This window comes from Homo sapiens, chromosome 8 (genome assembly GCF_000001405.40).
Source record: "Homo sapiens chromosome 8, GRCh38.p14 Primary Assembly".
NCBI classification, from domain to species: domain Eukaryota; kingdom Metazoa; phylum Chordata; class Mammalia; order Primates; family Hominidae; genus Homo; species Homo sapiens.
In genome coordinates, this window is record NC_000008.11 from 58,324,673 (window position 1) to 58,341,932 (window position 17,260).

Here is a 17,260-nt window from a genome sequence, read left to right on the forward strand (position 1 = left end):
TAACAGCAGATTTTAAACAACACAAATAACTACTTAAATTTAAATCTAGATCAATGAAACTTATATGATAAGATCGGAAATAAAAAAGATTAGAAAAAGCAAACATAGCTTCAGTGACCTATGGTACAGCAATAAGTAACCTAACTGTAATTGAAATTCTACAAAAAGAGAAGGAAATGGGGTGAAAATTTGAAGAAATTAGAGTCAAAATTACCTATATTTAGTGAAAAACAAACTTACAGATCAATGAAGTTAGGAAACTCTAAGCTGAAGAAAAATAAAGAGCAACACAACTAACAAGTGTAGACACGTCATGGTCAAAGTATTAAACACAAAAGCCAAAGAGGAAAATCTAAAAATTATTTAGAGGGGTAAAAGAAAAAAAAAGACAGCTTACATAAGATAAAAATCAAGACATATACACAGATTTGTCATCAGAAACAATACACCAAGAAGACAATAAAATGATATACTTAAGGTGCTTAGAGAAATAAAAACCCTGCTAATCTATAACTCAATGTTCAATGAAAATATCCCTCAAACATGAAGACAAAATGAAAACTCACAGAAAGAAAATAGCTGAAAGCATTAATCATTAGCAGATCTGCATTGCAAGGATGAAAATGCTACCAGAATGAAAATTATGATCTAGACCAAGAAAGAAGAGTGCTGGAAATGGTAAATATTTGGGTAATATAAACCAATTGCTTTGTCTTTCCATTACTCCAAAAGAAAATTGGTTAAGGTAACATAAAAATAATAGTCATCATGAAATCACTAAAAAAAAAAAAAAAGCAATGAAACAGATAAAAATAGCTAATATTCCAGTAAAGGAAATAAAATATGTTGCTACAAACACTTAATTTATCTGAAAGATGACAATATAGGAAAAATACGAACAAAAAAGATAAATAAAAAACAAAATAGCAAGATGGCAGACATAAATCTATCCACATAAATAATCGTATTAAAAGAGTTTAATATTCCAATAACAATGCAAAGGAGCGTCACCTAACTATGAACTGTCTACAAGAAACCTACTGTGACTATAAAGTCACAAATCAAAAGTAAAAGGATGGAAAAAGATATATCTTGCAAAAACATATCATAAGGAAGCTGAAGTGGCTATATTAGTACCACACAAAGAACACTTAAGGTGAAAAACAGAGATATGGAAGCATAATACATTGTGATAAAAAAATTCAACAAAAAAGCATAACAATTCTAAGTATTTATGTATCTAATAACAGAGGTTTACAATATGTTAATTAAAAATTGACAGAAACGAAAGGAGTACACAAATCTACAATTATAGCTGAAGATATTAGCACACCTTTTTGGGTAATTGATTACTGATTTTAAAAATAGTACAAATAGAGAAGACTTAAAGAAATTATCAACAAACATGACCTATTAATATTTGTAGGACAGTATTTTAAAATTAGCAGGCTATACACTTTCCAATGTAAATGGAACATTTAATAAGATGGATCATATCTTAGCCATAAAACAAGCCTCTACAATTTAAAAAGTATTTAAATCGTATAGAGTATGTTCTCTGACTACAACAGAATTAGAGATCAATAAGAAGATATCTTGAAAATGTGAAAATATTTTGAAATTTTAAAACATACCTCAGTAATCTAGGGCTCAAAGAAGAAATCATGAGGAAAATTGGAAAATATTTGTGAGTGAATGATAATAAAAACACAACATATTAAAATGTATGGAATGAAGTTAAAGCAATATTTAGAGTTTGGTTCATATCCTTAAATGCTATACTGGAACAGAAGAGTCTAAAATCAATTACCTAAGCATCCACCCTAACAATCTGCAAAGGAAGTGTAAATTAAATCCAAACTAAATAGATTAAAGGAAATAATACAAGATAATACAGGATACAATAAATCATATTAAATGAAAATTGGTAAACAATAGCGAAAATGAATAAAAATAAAAGCTGATTATTTCAAAAGATCAATAAAATTTTAAAACTCTAACTAAACTGATCAAGGAAAAAGTCACAAATAACAATATCAGGAAAGTAAAAGGAGACTTCCATACAGATCTTACAGACATTGAAGATAATAAAAAATTGTCAAAAATTTGACTAAATGAAACATAAAAATTCTTTGAGACACAAATCATCAAAACTGACACAAGAAGAAATATAATATCTTAATAATACTATATCTAGTAAAGAATTGAATTTATCATAAACACACTTCACAAAAGAAAACTCCAGCCTTCAATGACTTCACCGGTGAACCAAATATTATAAAAATATTATTAATCTTCTACAAAATATTTCAGAAAATATAGATAGATGTTACATCATGAGCCTGGCACTGTCTTGATACCAAAACCAGACAAAGATTTACAGTGGAGGAATCTACAAGCAATATTCCTACAAACACAGATGCAAAAATCTTTTAAATGTATTAAAATATTAAATATAGTAATATATAAAAAGCATATTGTGGCTAAGCAAGATTTATCCCTGGATTATATGATTGATTTAATATTTAAAAATCAATGTAATCACAATATTAATAGAATAAAGAGAAAAACTCTGTAATCATTTTAATTTATGATTTAGAAAAAATGACATTTGACAAAAGTCCACATCAATTCATAATAAATACTCTCAGCGGTATAAAATATTAAAACAGAATTTCCTGACCCTGATAAGGTCACCTGCAAAAAGCCTACAGCTGACATCATATCATTAGTGAAAGACTGAGTGTTTGCTTCTGTGTTGGGTAATATGACAAGTAGTCCATCTCGCCACTTTTACTCAGCATTTTGCTGGAGAGCACAGCCAGAGTAAGGAGATAAGAAAGATCATTAAAAACAAAAAGGTTGGTAAGAAAAAGTAAAACTTATTCTATTTGAAGATGGCAAAATTGTGTGTAGAAAATACTTAAAAATCTACCCCCTAAAATTGCTATTTGAGCTAAGAGTGCCTGTAGCAAGTTAGTAGGACAACAAAGTCAATACACAAAATAATTGCATTTCTATACACCAGAAAAAAGCTAAAAAAGGTTTTTGAAAAATGCCCCATGTAATAGCATTAAACAACACGAAATACTGTGGGATAAAGTAACAAGACAGGGCCGGCCGTGGTGGCTCATGCCTGTAATCCCAGCACTTTGGGAGGCCAAGGCGGGTGGATCACAAGGTCAGGAGATCTATACCATCCTGGCTAACACGGTGAAACCCCGTCTCTACTAAAAACCCAAAAAATTCGGCGGGCATGTTGGCAGGAGCCAGTAATCCCAGCTACTCAGGAGGCTGAGGCAGGAGAATGGTGTGAACCCGGGAGGCGAAGATTGCAGTCAGCCGAGATCACGCCACTGCACTCCAGCCTGGGCGACAGAGCAAGACTCTGTCTCAAAAAAAAAGTAACAAGACATATAAGATCTGTACACCGAAAACTTCAAATTTTGCTGAGAGAAAATAAAACCTTAACAGAGAGATATTATTGGTTTATATTAGAAGATTCAGAAATGTCAGATTATCAATTATCTCCAATTTTATCTATAGATTCACTGTAATCCCAATGAAAATACCAGGAGGATTTTTGTAAAATTTGATTAAGTGATTCTACAATGTATTTCCAATATAAGGGTTCTACAATAGCCAAAATAACTTAAGGGGAAAAGAAAAACAAAATTGAACTACCCTAACTCATTTCAAAACTTACAGTGGAGCTATAGTAATCAAGGCAGTGTTGGCTTGGCATAAGGACAGACATTTTGATCAATGGAACTAGAGTCCAAAAATACACATCTGCCTGTGTGTGTGTATATGTGTGTGCGTGCATGTTGAAACTGATTTCCAACAGACCAACAGACACCAATGTAAGTCCATGGAGAAAAGAACAAATGTCTTTATCAGAAAATGATGCTGGAACAACAGGATAAACATATGGGGAAAAGAAATAAACTGTACACAAAAATTAATTTGAAGTGGATCATGGACCTAAACATAAAAGCTAAACCTGTTTATCTTCTGGAAAAAAATATAGGATATCTCTACAACTTTGCTGCAAACCAAGATTTTTTAGAGAGGATTGAAACATCAGTAACCAAAGGGAAAAATAAAGATAAGCTGAACCTCATCAAAATTAAAAGGTTGCTCTTCAAAAGTCACCATTAGGAAAATAAAAAAGCAGATCCAAAATTCGGAGAAAAATTTGCAAATCATATATATGACAAACGGAATTCAATAATTAGAAGACAAGTTAACAAAAAGAAAGACTTAAAGAGACACTTCATCATGAATTATATTTAATGGCCAATAAGCACAGAAAAAAAGTGTTCATCACTGTCAGTCATCAGGGAAATGCAAATTTAATCACAATGGGATGTCATGACATATTCACTAAAAAGGCTAACATTAAAATACTGACAACCACAAATCTTGGTGAGGATGTGGGGCAACTGTAAGTCTCTTACACGCCAATGGGAGTAAATCATGGTACAATTTACTTTGCAAAACAATTTGATAGTTTCTTATAAGTTTAAGTATACATCCATCCTATGACTTAACAATTCTTCTTCTAGATATTTACTTAAGATAAATGAAAACATGTACATACCAAAAGTAGTTATCAGTACATTTATAGTATTTTTATTCAAATGGATCACAACAAGAAACAACATAAATGCTTATTAAAGTAGCATAAAATAATAATTTGTTGTATAATCACACAGTAGAAAACTACTCAGTAATAAAAAGAACTATTTTTACACACAACAGAAAAGTGAGATGCCAGCAACAAAAGCATACATACAGGTTGAGCATCCCTAATCTGAAAATCCAAAAATCAAAATGCTTCAAAATCAGAAACATTTTGAACATCAACATGACACTGGAAGTGGAAATTTTCATACATAACCAACGTGACAGGTTATAGCCAAAACTTTGCTTCATGAACAAAACTATGTAAATTATTCTATAAAATTACCTTTAGTCTATGTGTATAAGGTGTACATGAAACATAAATGTATTTCATTTTAGACTTCGGTCCCATCCCCAAGGTATTTCATTATGTATATACAAATATTCCAAAATCTGAAATTGAAACAGATTGATACAAAATGCTGGTGCCAAGTATTTTGGATAAGGGATACTCAACCTGTACTGTAGTTTTATTTATATGACATTCAGAGCAGGCAAAACTAATTGGTGATAGAAATTGGAACACTGGTTACCTAAGTGAGTTGGAGATTGACTACAATGGAGTATGAGGGCACTTACTTTGGTGATAATGCAGTACTCTATATCTTTATCATGGTGGTGGTAAACAAAGTTCATCACATTTTACATTGAAGACCTAACCATTTCATCGTCTGTAAGTTTTACCTAAATTTTAAAAAAATACATTTTAAAAACTAAGATCCTATGATAATTGTCTGTTTTTATTATGGGTTTAATAATTTTAAAACCATTTTATCTTTCCCTAAATTAATTTTTTCCCATGTGTAAATTCCTCTGGGAAGGTATTGGTAAATTAACTTTTTTATACTGTTGGGATGCTAATTCACTGGGCTTACTCAAATTAAAAAAAGCAATTCGACTTTTGGATGTTATCAATTATCTCTTACTGACTTGAGTATTTCAGTCCTTTAAGGGAATGTTTAAATCAGTCCTTACAATCCCACAAGGACCTTTCTCTTTGTCACATATTTCTCAGACATCTCCTTACTATTTTCAGTTGTTGTTCCTATTTTTTCAATTAAAATTCTGAGACGGGTAGTCAGAAAACCTTTGGTAGAATGATCCATGAAATGGCATCATGAACTAAATGTAATCTTTATATCCCATAGTAATTTCATGGGAAGTGTTTTATGTCTCTATCAGGTTCTTGTTTTCCATAAAGAAAAAGCCTAAAAATAATTATTCTAAGGATGTCCTATAGCACTTAATGTTGGAGAATTGGATTTATAGTTCCAGAAACATATGCTATGCTCAAAACTGTTCAACTAAAATAAGTAGAATTAAATGGAAACCACCTGCTATCTAGTAGAAAAGAGTATTAGCCCTTCAGCATCAGGTGTTTAACGAATACTTCCAGCAATATTGCAAGACGAACATCAAAGGCCATTGCCTTTGTACCTCAAAGAAGGAAATTTATCCAGGAAAAAAAGTTGCTTTTTTAGTTGTTGGTGGTGGTTTTTTTTTTTGTTTTTTTTTGTTTTTTTGTTTTTTTTCCTATGGGATGTATTGCTACTTGTGCTTAAATTTGGTCTTAAACGGGCTAGAACCATGGCATTTTCTTTTGGCTGTTATACTTACTGATCATCTCCAAAATTATGCTAAAAAGCAGGTTAGGTTTAGTCTTCTGACACTATCATAAGTGCACTCGTTGATGTAGTATGTGACAGACACTACTAATCCAACATTACTGATGAGGAAACTAAAACTTAAGAAAAATTTGCTTTACATTTTCACGATGCCAGTTAAATCAGGTAATTCAAGTCTTCTAAAGTAGCTAAATCAATTTTTAAATACATTCAGGCAATGCATTAATCAAATTTCCAAAATTTGTGGTTTAGCAGCATGTAGGCACATCGTAAATAACGTATCAAGTTAAGTAGAAGTTCCTGCTTAATGCTCTGGTAAGTCAAAAGGCAAAGCACATTCTTTATTACTATTCTTATGGTTTTAAAGTTTAGTGAAGAAAATAATTTGGCCTGAAAACACCTTGTCATCATGGATGTAAAAATACAAAAAAGTTAATAGTAATATTTATTACTAGTACTAAATAATTGTATTATATTAATTATAACTAACATTTATGGAGCATTTATTATATGCTAGGGCCTATGTATACAATAGGTCCTATTATATCTTATTATAATAAGATAGTATAATATCTTATTTGTGCTAAAAGAAAAAAAAGGTGGGCACAGCCCACGGATAGTGAGCAGAAGTAGGGTGGGTGTTGCTTCACCTGGGAAGTGCACGGAGTAGGGGGGACCTCCCTCCTCCAGCCAAGGCAAGTGGAGAGGGACTGTCTTACCCACCAGGGGTACCACGCTTTTCCCACGGATTTTTGCAATCCGCAGATCAGGAGATTCCCTCATGAACCTACACCACCAGGGCCCTGGGTCTCAAGCACAAAACTGGGCAGCTGTTCAGGTAGGCACTGGGCCGCAGGAATTTTTATATGCTCCAGGGGTGCCTGGAACGCCAAGGAAACAGGAGAACCATCCACTCCCATGGAAATGGGGCTGGAGCCAGGGGACCAAGCGGTCTCACTCTGCGGTTCCCACTCCCAGGGACCCCAGCAAGCTAAGAACCACTTGCTTGCAATTCCCATTGCCAGCGCAGCAGTCTGGAGTCAGCCCAGGACGATGGAGTTGGTGGAGGGAGGGGTGACCGCCATTACTGTGGCTTTAGTAGGCGGTTTTCCCCTGACAGCGCTAAGAAGACCGGAAGGTTTGGACTGGGTGGAATTCCCCACAGTGCAGCAAAGTGACTGTGGCCAGACTGCTTCTCCAGATCCCTTCTCACTGGGCAGGGCCTCCCTGCAGAAAGTGCAGCAGCTCCAGTCAGGGGCTTACAGACAGAACTCTCATCTCCCTGGGACAGAGCATCTCGGGGGAGGGGCAGCCACCATCTCAAGTTCAGCGGACTTAATCTGCTGATCTCAACGAGGGGGATTCCCCCAGCACAGCACACCAGCTCTGCTAAGGGACAGACTGTCTCCTCAAGAGGATCCCTGACCCTGTGCCTCCTGACTGGGTGAGACCTCCCAACAGTGGTTGGGAGACATCTCATAGAGGAGAGTTCCAGCTGGCATCAGGTCAGTGCCCCTCTGGGACAAAGCTTTCAGAGGAAGGAGGAGGCAGCAATTTTTGCTGTTCTGCAGCCTTCACTGGTGATACCCAGGCAAACAGGGTCTGGAGTGGACTCCCAGAAAACTGCAGCAGACGTGCAGAAGAGGGGCCCGACTGTTACAAGAAAAACGAACAAACAGAAAGCAACAACAACGACATCAACAAAAAAGAATCCACAAAAACCCTATCCAAGGATTAGCAGCCTCAAAGAAAAAAGGTGGATAAACCCATGAAGTTGAGGAAAAACCAATGCAAAAATGCTGAAAATCCCAAAACCCAGAATGCCTCTTCTCCTCTAAATGATTGCAACACATCTCCAGCAAGGGCACAGAACTGAGCTGAAGCTGAGATGGATGAACTGACATAAGTAGGCTTTAGAAAGTGGGTAGTAACAAATTTTGCTGAGCTAAAGGATTATGTTCTAGCCTAATGCTAAGAAGCTAAGAACCATGATAAAATATTATGGGAGCTGTTAACTGGAATAACCAGTTTAGAGAGGAACATAAATGACCTGATGGAGCTGAAAAACACAGCACAAGAACTTTGTGATGCAAACACAAGTACCAATAGCTGAATTGACCAAGTGGAAGAGAGAGTATCAGAGCCTGAAGACTATCTTGCTGAAATAGGCCATGAAGACAAGATTGGAGAAAAAAGAATGAAAGGGAACAAACAAAACCTCCGAGAGCTATGGGACTATGTCAAAAGACTGAACCTATGACTGATTGGAGTACCTGAAAGAGATGGGGAGAATGAAACCAAGTTGGAAAACACACTTCAGGATATCATCCAGGAGAACTTCCCCAGTCTAGCAAGACAGGCCAATATTCAAATTCAGGAAATCGAGATAACTGCAGTAGCATACTCCACAAAAGTTCTACCCCAAGACACATAATCATCAGATTCTCCAAGGTTGAAATGAAAGAAAAAATGTTAAGGGCAGCAAGAGAGAAAGGACAGGTCACCTACAAAGGGAAGCCCATCAGACTAACAGTGGACCTCTCAGTGGAAACCCTACAAGCCAGAAGAGATTGGGGGCCAATATTCGACATTCTTAAGAAAAAGAAATTCCAACCCAGAATTTCATATCTGGCCAAACTAAGCTTCATAAGTGGAGGAGAAATAAAATCCTTTTCAGACAAGCAAATGCTGAGGGATTTTGTCACCATCAGCCCTGTCTTGCAAGAACTCCTGAAGGAAGCACTAAAACCTGGATAGGAAAAACCTATTCTATCTATGAAACTACAAAAACACACTGAAGTACAGAGACCAGTGACACTATGAAGCAAATACGTTAACAAGTCTGCAAAATTAAACAGCCAGCATCATGATGACAGGATCAAATTCATACATAACAATATTAAACTTAAAGGTAAATGGGCTAAATGTCCTAATTAAAAGACACAGAATGGCAAGCTGGATACAAAGACAAGACCCATCAGTGTGCTGTATTCAAGAGACACATCTCAACAAAGGTCAAAAAAGACAAAGGGCATTACATAATATTAAAGTGTTCAATTCCCCAAGAAGAGCTAACTATACTAAATACATATGCACCCAATACAGGAACACCCAGATTCATAAAATAAGTTCTTAGAGAACTACAAAGAGACTTAGACCCCCACACAATAATAGTGAGAGACTTTAATACCCTCACAGTCAGCATTAGACAGATCATTGAGACAGAAAATTAACAAAGATATTCAGGACTTGAGCTCAGACCAAGTGGACCTGATAGATATCTACAGAACTCTCCACCTAAAACAACAGATTTTTTTGGTGCCACATGGCACTTACCCTAAAATTGATCACATAATTGGAAGTAAAACACTCTTCAGCAGATGCAAAAATTAAAAAACTGGAATCATAAGATTCCAGTTGTGGTCTCTCAGACCACAACACAATCAAATTAGAACTCAAGATTTAAAAGCCCACTCAAAACCACACAGCTACATGAAATTGAACAAACTGCTCCTGAATGACCCCTGGGTAAATAATGAAATTAAGGCAGAAATCGAGAAGTTCTTTGAAACCAATGAGAACAAAGAGACAATGTATCAGAATCTCTAGGATGCAGCTGAAACTGTGTTAAGAGGGAAATTTATTACACTAAATGCCCACATCAAAAAGCTAGAAAAATCTCAAATAGACACCCTAATATCACAACTAAAAGAACTAGAGAACCAAGAGCAAACAAACCCCAGAGCTAGGAGAAGACAGGAAATAATTTCAGAGAGGAAATGAAGGACATAGAAACAAAAAAAACTTCAAAAAATCAACAAATCCACAAACTTTTTTTAAATCAATAGGGAAAATAGACTGCTAGCAAGACTAATAAAGAAGGCAAGAGAGAAGATTCAAATAAACACAATCAGAAATGGTAAGGGGGATAACACCACTGACCCAAAGAAATACAAACAACCCTCAGAGAATACTATATACAACTCTATGCAAATAAACTGGAAAATCTAGAAGAAATAGATAAATTCCTGGACACATACACCCTTCCAAGACTGAACCAGAAAGAAGCTGAATCCCTGAATAGAACAATAACAAATTCTGAAATTGAGGCAGTAATTTCAGGTCCAGAGGGATTTATAGCTGAATTCTAACAGAGATACAAAGCAAAGTTGGTACCATTTCTTCTGAAACTATTCCAAACAATTAAAAAGGAGAGACTCCTCCCTAACTCATTATATGAGGTCAGCGTCATCCTGATACCAAAACCTGCCAGAGTTACAACCAAAAAAGAAAACTTTGGGCCAATATTCATAATGAACATAGATGGAAAAATCCTCAATAAAATACTAGCAAATGGAGTCCAGCAGCACATCAAAAAGCTTATTCACCATGATCAGGTCGGCTTCATCCCTGGGATGCAAGGCAGGTTCAACAGATGCAAATCAATAAACATAATTCATCAAATAAACAGAACTAGAGACAAAAACCACATAATTATCTCAATAGATGCAGAAAAGACCTTTGATAAAATGCAACATCCCTGCATGTTAAAAACTCTTAATAAACTAGGCATTGAAGGAACATACCTCAAAATAATAAGAGCCATTTATGACAGATCCACAGCCAATATCATACTGAATGGGCAAAAGCTGCAGGCATTCCCTTGAAAACTGGCACAAGACCAGGATGCTCTCTCTCACCACTCTTATTCAACATAGTGTTGAAAGTTCTGGCCAGGGCAATTAGGCAAGAGAAAGAAATATAGGATATTCGAATGGGAAGAGAGGAAGTCAAATTGTCTTTGTTTGCAGATGACATGATTCTGTATCTAGAAAACCACATTGTCTCAGCCCAAAAGCTTCTAAAGCTGATAAGCAAATTTAGCAAAGTCTCAGGATACAAAGTCAATGTGCGAAAGTCACAAGCATTCCTATACACCAACAACAGGCAAGCAGAAATCCAAATCATGAATGAACTCCCATTCACAATTGCCACAAAGAGAATAAAATACCTAGGAATAGAGCTAACAAGGAAAGTGAAGGACCTCTTCAAAGAGAACTACAAACCACTGCTCAAGGAAATCAGAGAGAACACAAACAAATGGAAAAACATTCCATCTGCTCATGGATAGAAAGAATCAGTATAGTGAAAATAACTATACTGCCCAAAGCAATTTATAGATTCAATGCTCTTCCCATTAAACTACCACTGACATTCTTCACAGAATTAGAAAAAAATATTTTAAAATTCATATGGAACCAAAAAAGAGCTCACATAGCCAAGACAATCCTAAGCAAAAAGAACAAAACTAGGCGATGGGTTGATATGTGCAGCAAACCACCATGGCACACGTTTACCTATGTGACAAACCTGCACATCCTGCACATATACCCCAAAACTTTAAATAATTAATTAATTTAAAAAGAGAAAGTCTTAAAAGAAAAAAAAGAAAAGAAACCCATCCCCAACTTACAGATGAGCCTCGGAGAGATTAATTGACTTGACTGTGATCACCTGACTCATCAGAGCCTGAGCAGTTTTGACAGCACAATTACTGACATCAGAGCCTTTGCAGTTTATAGATTTGTCTTCATTCCTAACTTTCTTCATATTCCCCTTCCTTCTTTGGAAAGGGTTCCTATGAATATGACCTGCCAAATAAACAGATTGTAAATATAATCAGTTAGGTTTCAGCAAAAAGGGAAAAGACTGTCACTTGGACATTGAAATCAGGCTAAAAATTCAACTATGGAATTACCTTATGTCATTCTAATAAGACTCCTTCTGCTAAACTTAGCCACAAGTGGCCACCCAAAACCCCTTGGGAAGAAATGAGCCAGAGACACAGAATTATAATTTGCTGTATTACAGAATATCAGTTTTGCCAACTGGCTCTCTAATGTGAGCTCTGTTTGTCAAAAAAAAATGAATTCAGTATGACAGAAGTGTTTTCTGTCGCTTGCACGCTGGCCAAGAGTCGATCAACTCTGCTTGCCAAACAGAATGCCTCTGACAAGGTCATCAGCAAAGTCACTCTTAAGTGATTGGGCACAGACAATTATTATATAAGCACTCGTGGCTCTGTGTGGAAATGTACACTGATCAATCTTAGAGACAGAAATTTCATGGATATAAAAAGAAAATAATCTACTGCATTCACGCTGTTGAGCAATTAATTTATTGCCAACAGGATACAGTTTATTACCAACAGAATATAGACTATGCTTGAAGAAGACAAGAATTGCATGTTAATTTCTTGCTACTGACTAAACTTTGATTATTCTGTCTTAGGGACTCAAACTAATGATCACACAACTGTGCTCTGAATTAATACAGGTAAAAAATGGTCACACATTTTCTTGAGTCAAATGATAGCTCTTCAAGCAAGAGAATAGATATGTAATTAATTTGTAAATAGTTGTGATTCAAGTCTAAGAATATCATTTGCTCATCATGAGAGTTAAAGCTCTCAAGGCAAAAATAATCACTTGCATTATATTATTACACACATCACAAGTTGGGGAGGTACAGTGACATGGCAATTACTCAATAGTTCAGCACAGTTGACTGAGAGCACTTTTAGGAAATGCTTGGCTGCAGAAAAAATGCCAGCTTTTAAAGTTCACTTTAGGGAAAAATAATGATCTTTTGGTATCTGTCTGGCTCCATTCTTCCAGTTCACTAACTTCTATTACTCAAGAGAATTCTTAAAATAGTCAGTGTCTACTTATTCTTGGAGACATGTAAGAAGAGTCTAGGACTAAATAACTTCGGTGTTTCTTCTTCCTCTTATTCTCAAAATATGGCTTTCCTAAAAGCAAGGTGGAAAGTTGGTGATTACTTGTTAAACTGGTGCTGTAAAAACAAAAATTTAGAAAAAAAAAGGATTAGTATGACATTTTACACACAATTTATTCTTTCAATAGCTTCATTGGGAAAAATTTACATACTACAAAACTCATCTATTGTAAGTGTAGAAGTCAGTAATTTTTAGTAAATTTGGAAGTTTGTGCAATTATCACCACAATCTAGCTTTCAAGCACTTCTATCACCCCCCAAAACTTCCCTCCCTTCCATTTGCAGTCAGTTCCATTCCTATCCTCTCTCCCATGTAACTATGGATCTACTTTCTCTACATAGACTTACTTTTTTATGGGAAATTCATAAATATGTAATCTAAGATATATAGTCTTTTGTGTCTAGATTCCTTTACTTGGTATAATATTTTTGAAGTTCACCCATATTGCAGCATGTGAAAGTAGTTCTTTCCTTTTTATTTGCTGAATAGTATTCCACTATATGAATATACCACATTGTCTATCCAGTCACCAGTTAATAGACATTTTGATTGTTTCCAGTTTGAGGCCTTTATGAATAATGCTACTGTGAACATCAGCACAAGTCTTTATGTGGATATTAATTTTTAGTTCTTTTGGGTAGTTACCAAGAAGAATAGCTGGATTGTAGGGTAAATGTATGTTTGATTTTTGAGGAATAAGCCAAACTATTTTCAAATGTAGTTGTACAATTTTACATGTCCATCAGCAATGTATATGGGTTCCAGATTTTCCACATCCTCACCAATTCTTGGTATTGTTGGTCTTTTTTATTACAGCCATTTGCATGTGTGTGGTGGTATCACATTGTGGTTTAAAACATATTTCTCTAATGACAATGATGTAGCTCATGAAAGATCTGATCAAAAGAATGAAAAGACAAGCTACAGAGTTAGAGAAAATATTGCAAGCAACATATATGACAAGAGAATAGTATTTAGAATATGTAGAGAATTCCCAGCACTCAATAGTTAAAAAAAAAATCCAGTTAGAAGCTGGGCAAAATACATGAACAGGCATTTTACTAGAGGATATACAAACAGTAAACTAACAAATGAAAAGATTCTCCACATCTCTAGCCACTAGAGAAATGCAAATTAATACCACAATGAGGTAATGCTACCCACCTCTCACAGTGGCTGAAATAAAAATTAGTGACAACACCAAATACTGGCAAGGTTGCAAAGAAATTGGATGACTCATACACTACTGATGGGAATGTAAAATGGTATTTCCATTCTCGAAAATATTTTGGCACTCCTTAAAAAAACTAAACATTTGACTAACATACAACCCCACATTTTCACTTTTGGGCATTTATCCTAGAGAAATAAAAACTTAAGTTCATGCAAAAATGTATACACAAATGTTCTTGGCAGGGTTTTTTTTGTAATAAGCAAAAAATTGGAAACAATCAAAATGTCTTTTAGCAGGTGATTGACTAAACAAGTTGTTGCTGCATCCAAACCATTGAATACTATTCGGCAGTAAAAAGGGAAAGTTATTCATGTACTCAACAGTTTAATCTCCAGAGAATTGTGCTGAGTGAAAAAAAAAGTCCAATTTCAAATGGCCATTTGTAGGATTTTATTTATATAACATTCTTAAAATAACAAAATTATAGAAACAGAAAACAGATTGGGTTTGCAAGAGGTAAAGAATGATGAGAGGTAAAGGAAGTGGTGTAGCCATAAAAAGGAACAGGTTGGACCTTTGCAGTGATGGAAATGTTCTATATCTTGGCTATATGAATACCAACATCTTGGCTGTGATATTGAGCTATAGTTTTATGAGATGTTATCATTGGGGAAAATGAGTAAAGAATACATGGAATCTTTTCATATTATTTATTATGACTGCATGTAAATCTACAATTATCTTTAAAAAAAGGTTTCCTTATAAAAAATCTACTTACTAGAAATATAATTTTTTTCTCAATTCTAAATTCTACTCCACTTATTTACATAATTATCTTTGTGCTAATTCCATACTTTCTTGATTACTGTGGCTTTATTGTATAAGTTTTGAAAGTTGGCAGTGTAAATGCTCCAACTTGGTTCTTATTTACCAAAATTGGTTTGGCAATTCTAGTTCCATTGCATTTTCATAAAAATTTTAGAATCATCAGATAGATCAATAGCTACAAAAAATATGCTGGATTTTGATGGGGATTATGTTAAATCTATAGATCAATTTGAGAAGAATCGATGTCCTATTTTTTCCAATCCATATATGTGGACTATTGCTCTATTTTATTTTTAAATTACTATCAGCAATATTTTATAGTTTTCAATATACAAGTTTTACTCTTATTTCTTAAAATATATTCCTATTTATTGTTTTTGATGCCATTGTGGATGAAATTGTTTTCCTAATTTTATTTTTGGATTGTTCACTTACAGCATTTTAAAAGTTGGGTTTAGCATACTGATCTTGTATCTTGTAACCTTACTAAATTAATTTATTAGTTCTAGTAATTTTTTCAGATTCTTTAGAATTTTCTACATACAATATAATGTCATCTGAAAACAAAACCATAAAAATAGTTTTACTTCCTTTCAAATATAGATGCCCCTCCTCCCTCCCTCCTTCCTTCCTTCCTTTCTTCTTTCCTTCCTTCCTTCGTCATTCCTTCCTTCCTTCCTCCCTCCCTCCATCCCTCTCTCCCTTTCTTCCTTCCTTTCTTTCTGTCTTTTTTGTTCTTATAATTCTTTTAATTTCTAGGGTCTAGAGTGACGCTCCCTGTGTCATTCCTAGTTTAATAAATTGTGTTTTCTCACTTTTTTCTTGATCAATTCAGCTGATGATTTATTAATTCTTTTTCAAAGATCAACTTCCGATCAACTTATCAATTTTCTCTGTTATTGATTTTTTTCTATTTCATTGGTTTCTATTTTGTTGTTATTTCTTTCTTCTGCCTACTTTGAGCTTATTGTTTTTTCTGAATTCTTCAGATAGAAGCTTAAATGATTGATTTGAGATATTCCTTTCTAATATATGTGTTTAAAGCTATAAGTGTTTCTCAATGCATTCCTTATTTTTTATTTTTATGGATACATAGTAAGTGTATATATTTATGAGGTGTGTGAGATGTTTTGATACAGGCATGCAAGGCATAATAATCCCATCATGTAAAATGGGGTATTTATCCCCTCAAGTATTCATGTTTTGTGTTACAAACAGTCCAATTATACTTTATTAGTTATTTTTAGATGTACAATTAAATTCTTATTGACATTTTTAAATGTACAATTAAATTCTATAGTCACCCTATTGTCCTATCAAATACTAGAACTGATTCATTCTTTCTAACTACATTTTTATACCCATGTAACCATCATTCTATTCTCTGTCTCCATTAGTTCAATTGTCTTAATGTTTAGCTCCCCAAAATGAGTGAGAATGTGCAAAGTTTGTCTCTCTGTGCCTGACGTATTTCACTTAATGTAATATCCTCAATTTCCATCCATGTTGTTGCAAATGACAGGATCTTATTCTTTTTTATGGCTGAATAGTACTCCATTGTGTATATGTGCCACACTTTCTTTACCCATTCATCTGCTGATGGACACTTGGGTTGCTTCCAAATATTGGCTATTTTGTCCTTTAATTCTTTAAGCATGGTTTTCTTTAGTTCTTTAAACATGTTTATAATAGTTGCTTTGACATCTTGGCCTGCTAAATACACCTGGGCCTATTCAGAGAAAATTTATGATGTCACCTTTTCCCCCAAGTATGGGTTACACTTTCTGTTGCTCTGCATGTCTTTGCATAATATTTTGTTGAAAACTGGGCATTTTAGATAATATGTTGTAGTAGCTTTTGATTCTAATTTTTATGCATGAGAATTGTTGTTGCTGGGTTTTTCTGTTTGTTTTGTTTTGATTTGTTATTTAGTAACTTCTCTAGACTTAATCTGCTATATTTGTATCCTCCATGATGTACAGTCGCTAAGATCTCTGATTATTTTTGCATTCTTAGTTTTACTTTCTAGTCTTATTTTCTAGGGTTTACTCATGTGACTGCATGGCTTAGTAGTCAGCCAATGATTGATTAAAGATTGTGCTCAAACACCTCAGGCCAGTAAGGTTTTCACCCTGTGTTGCTGGATCC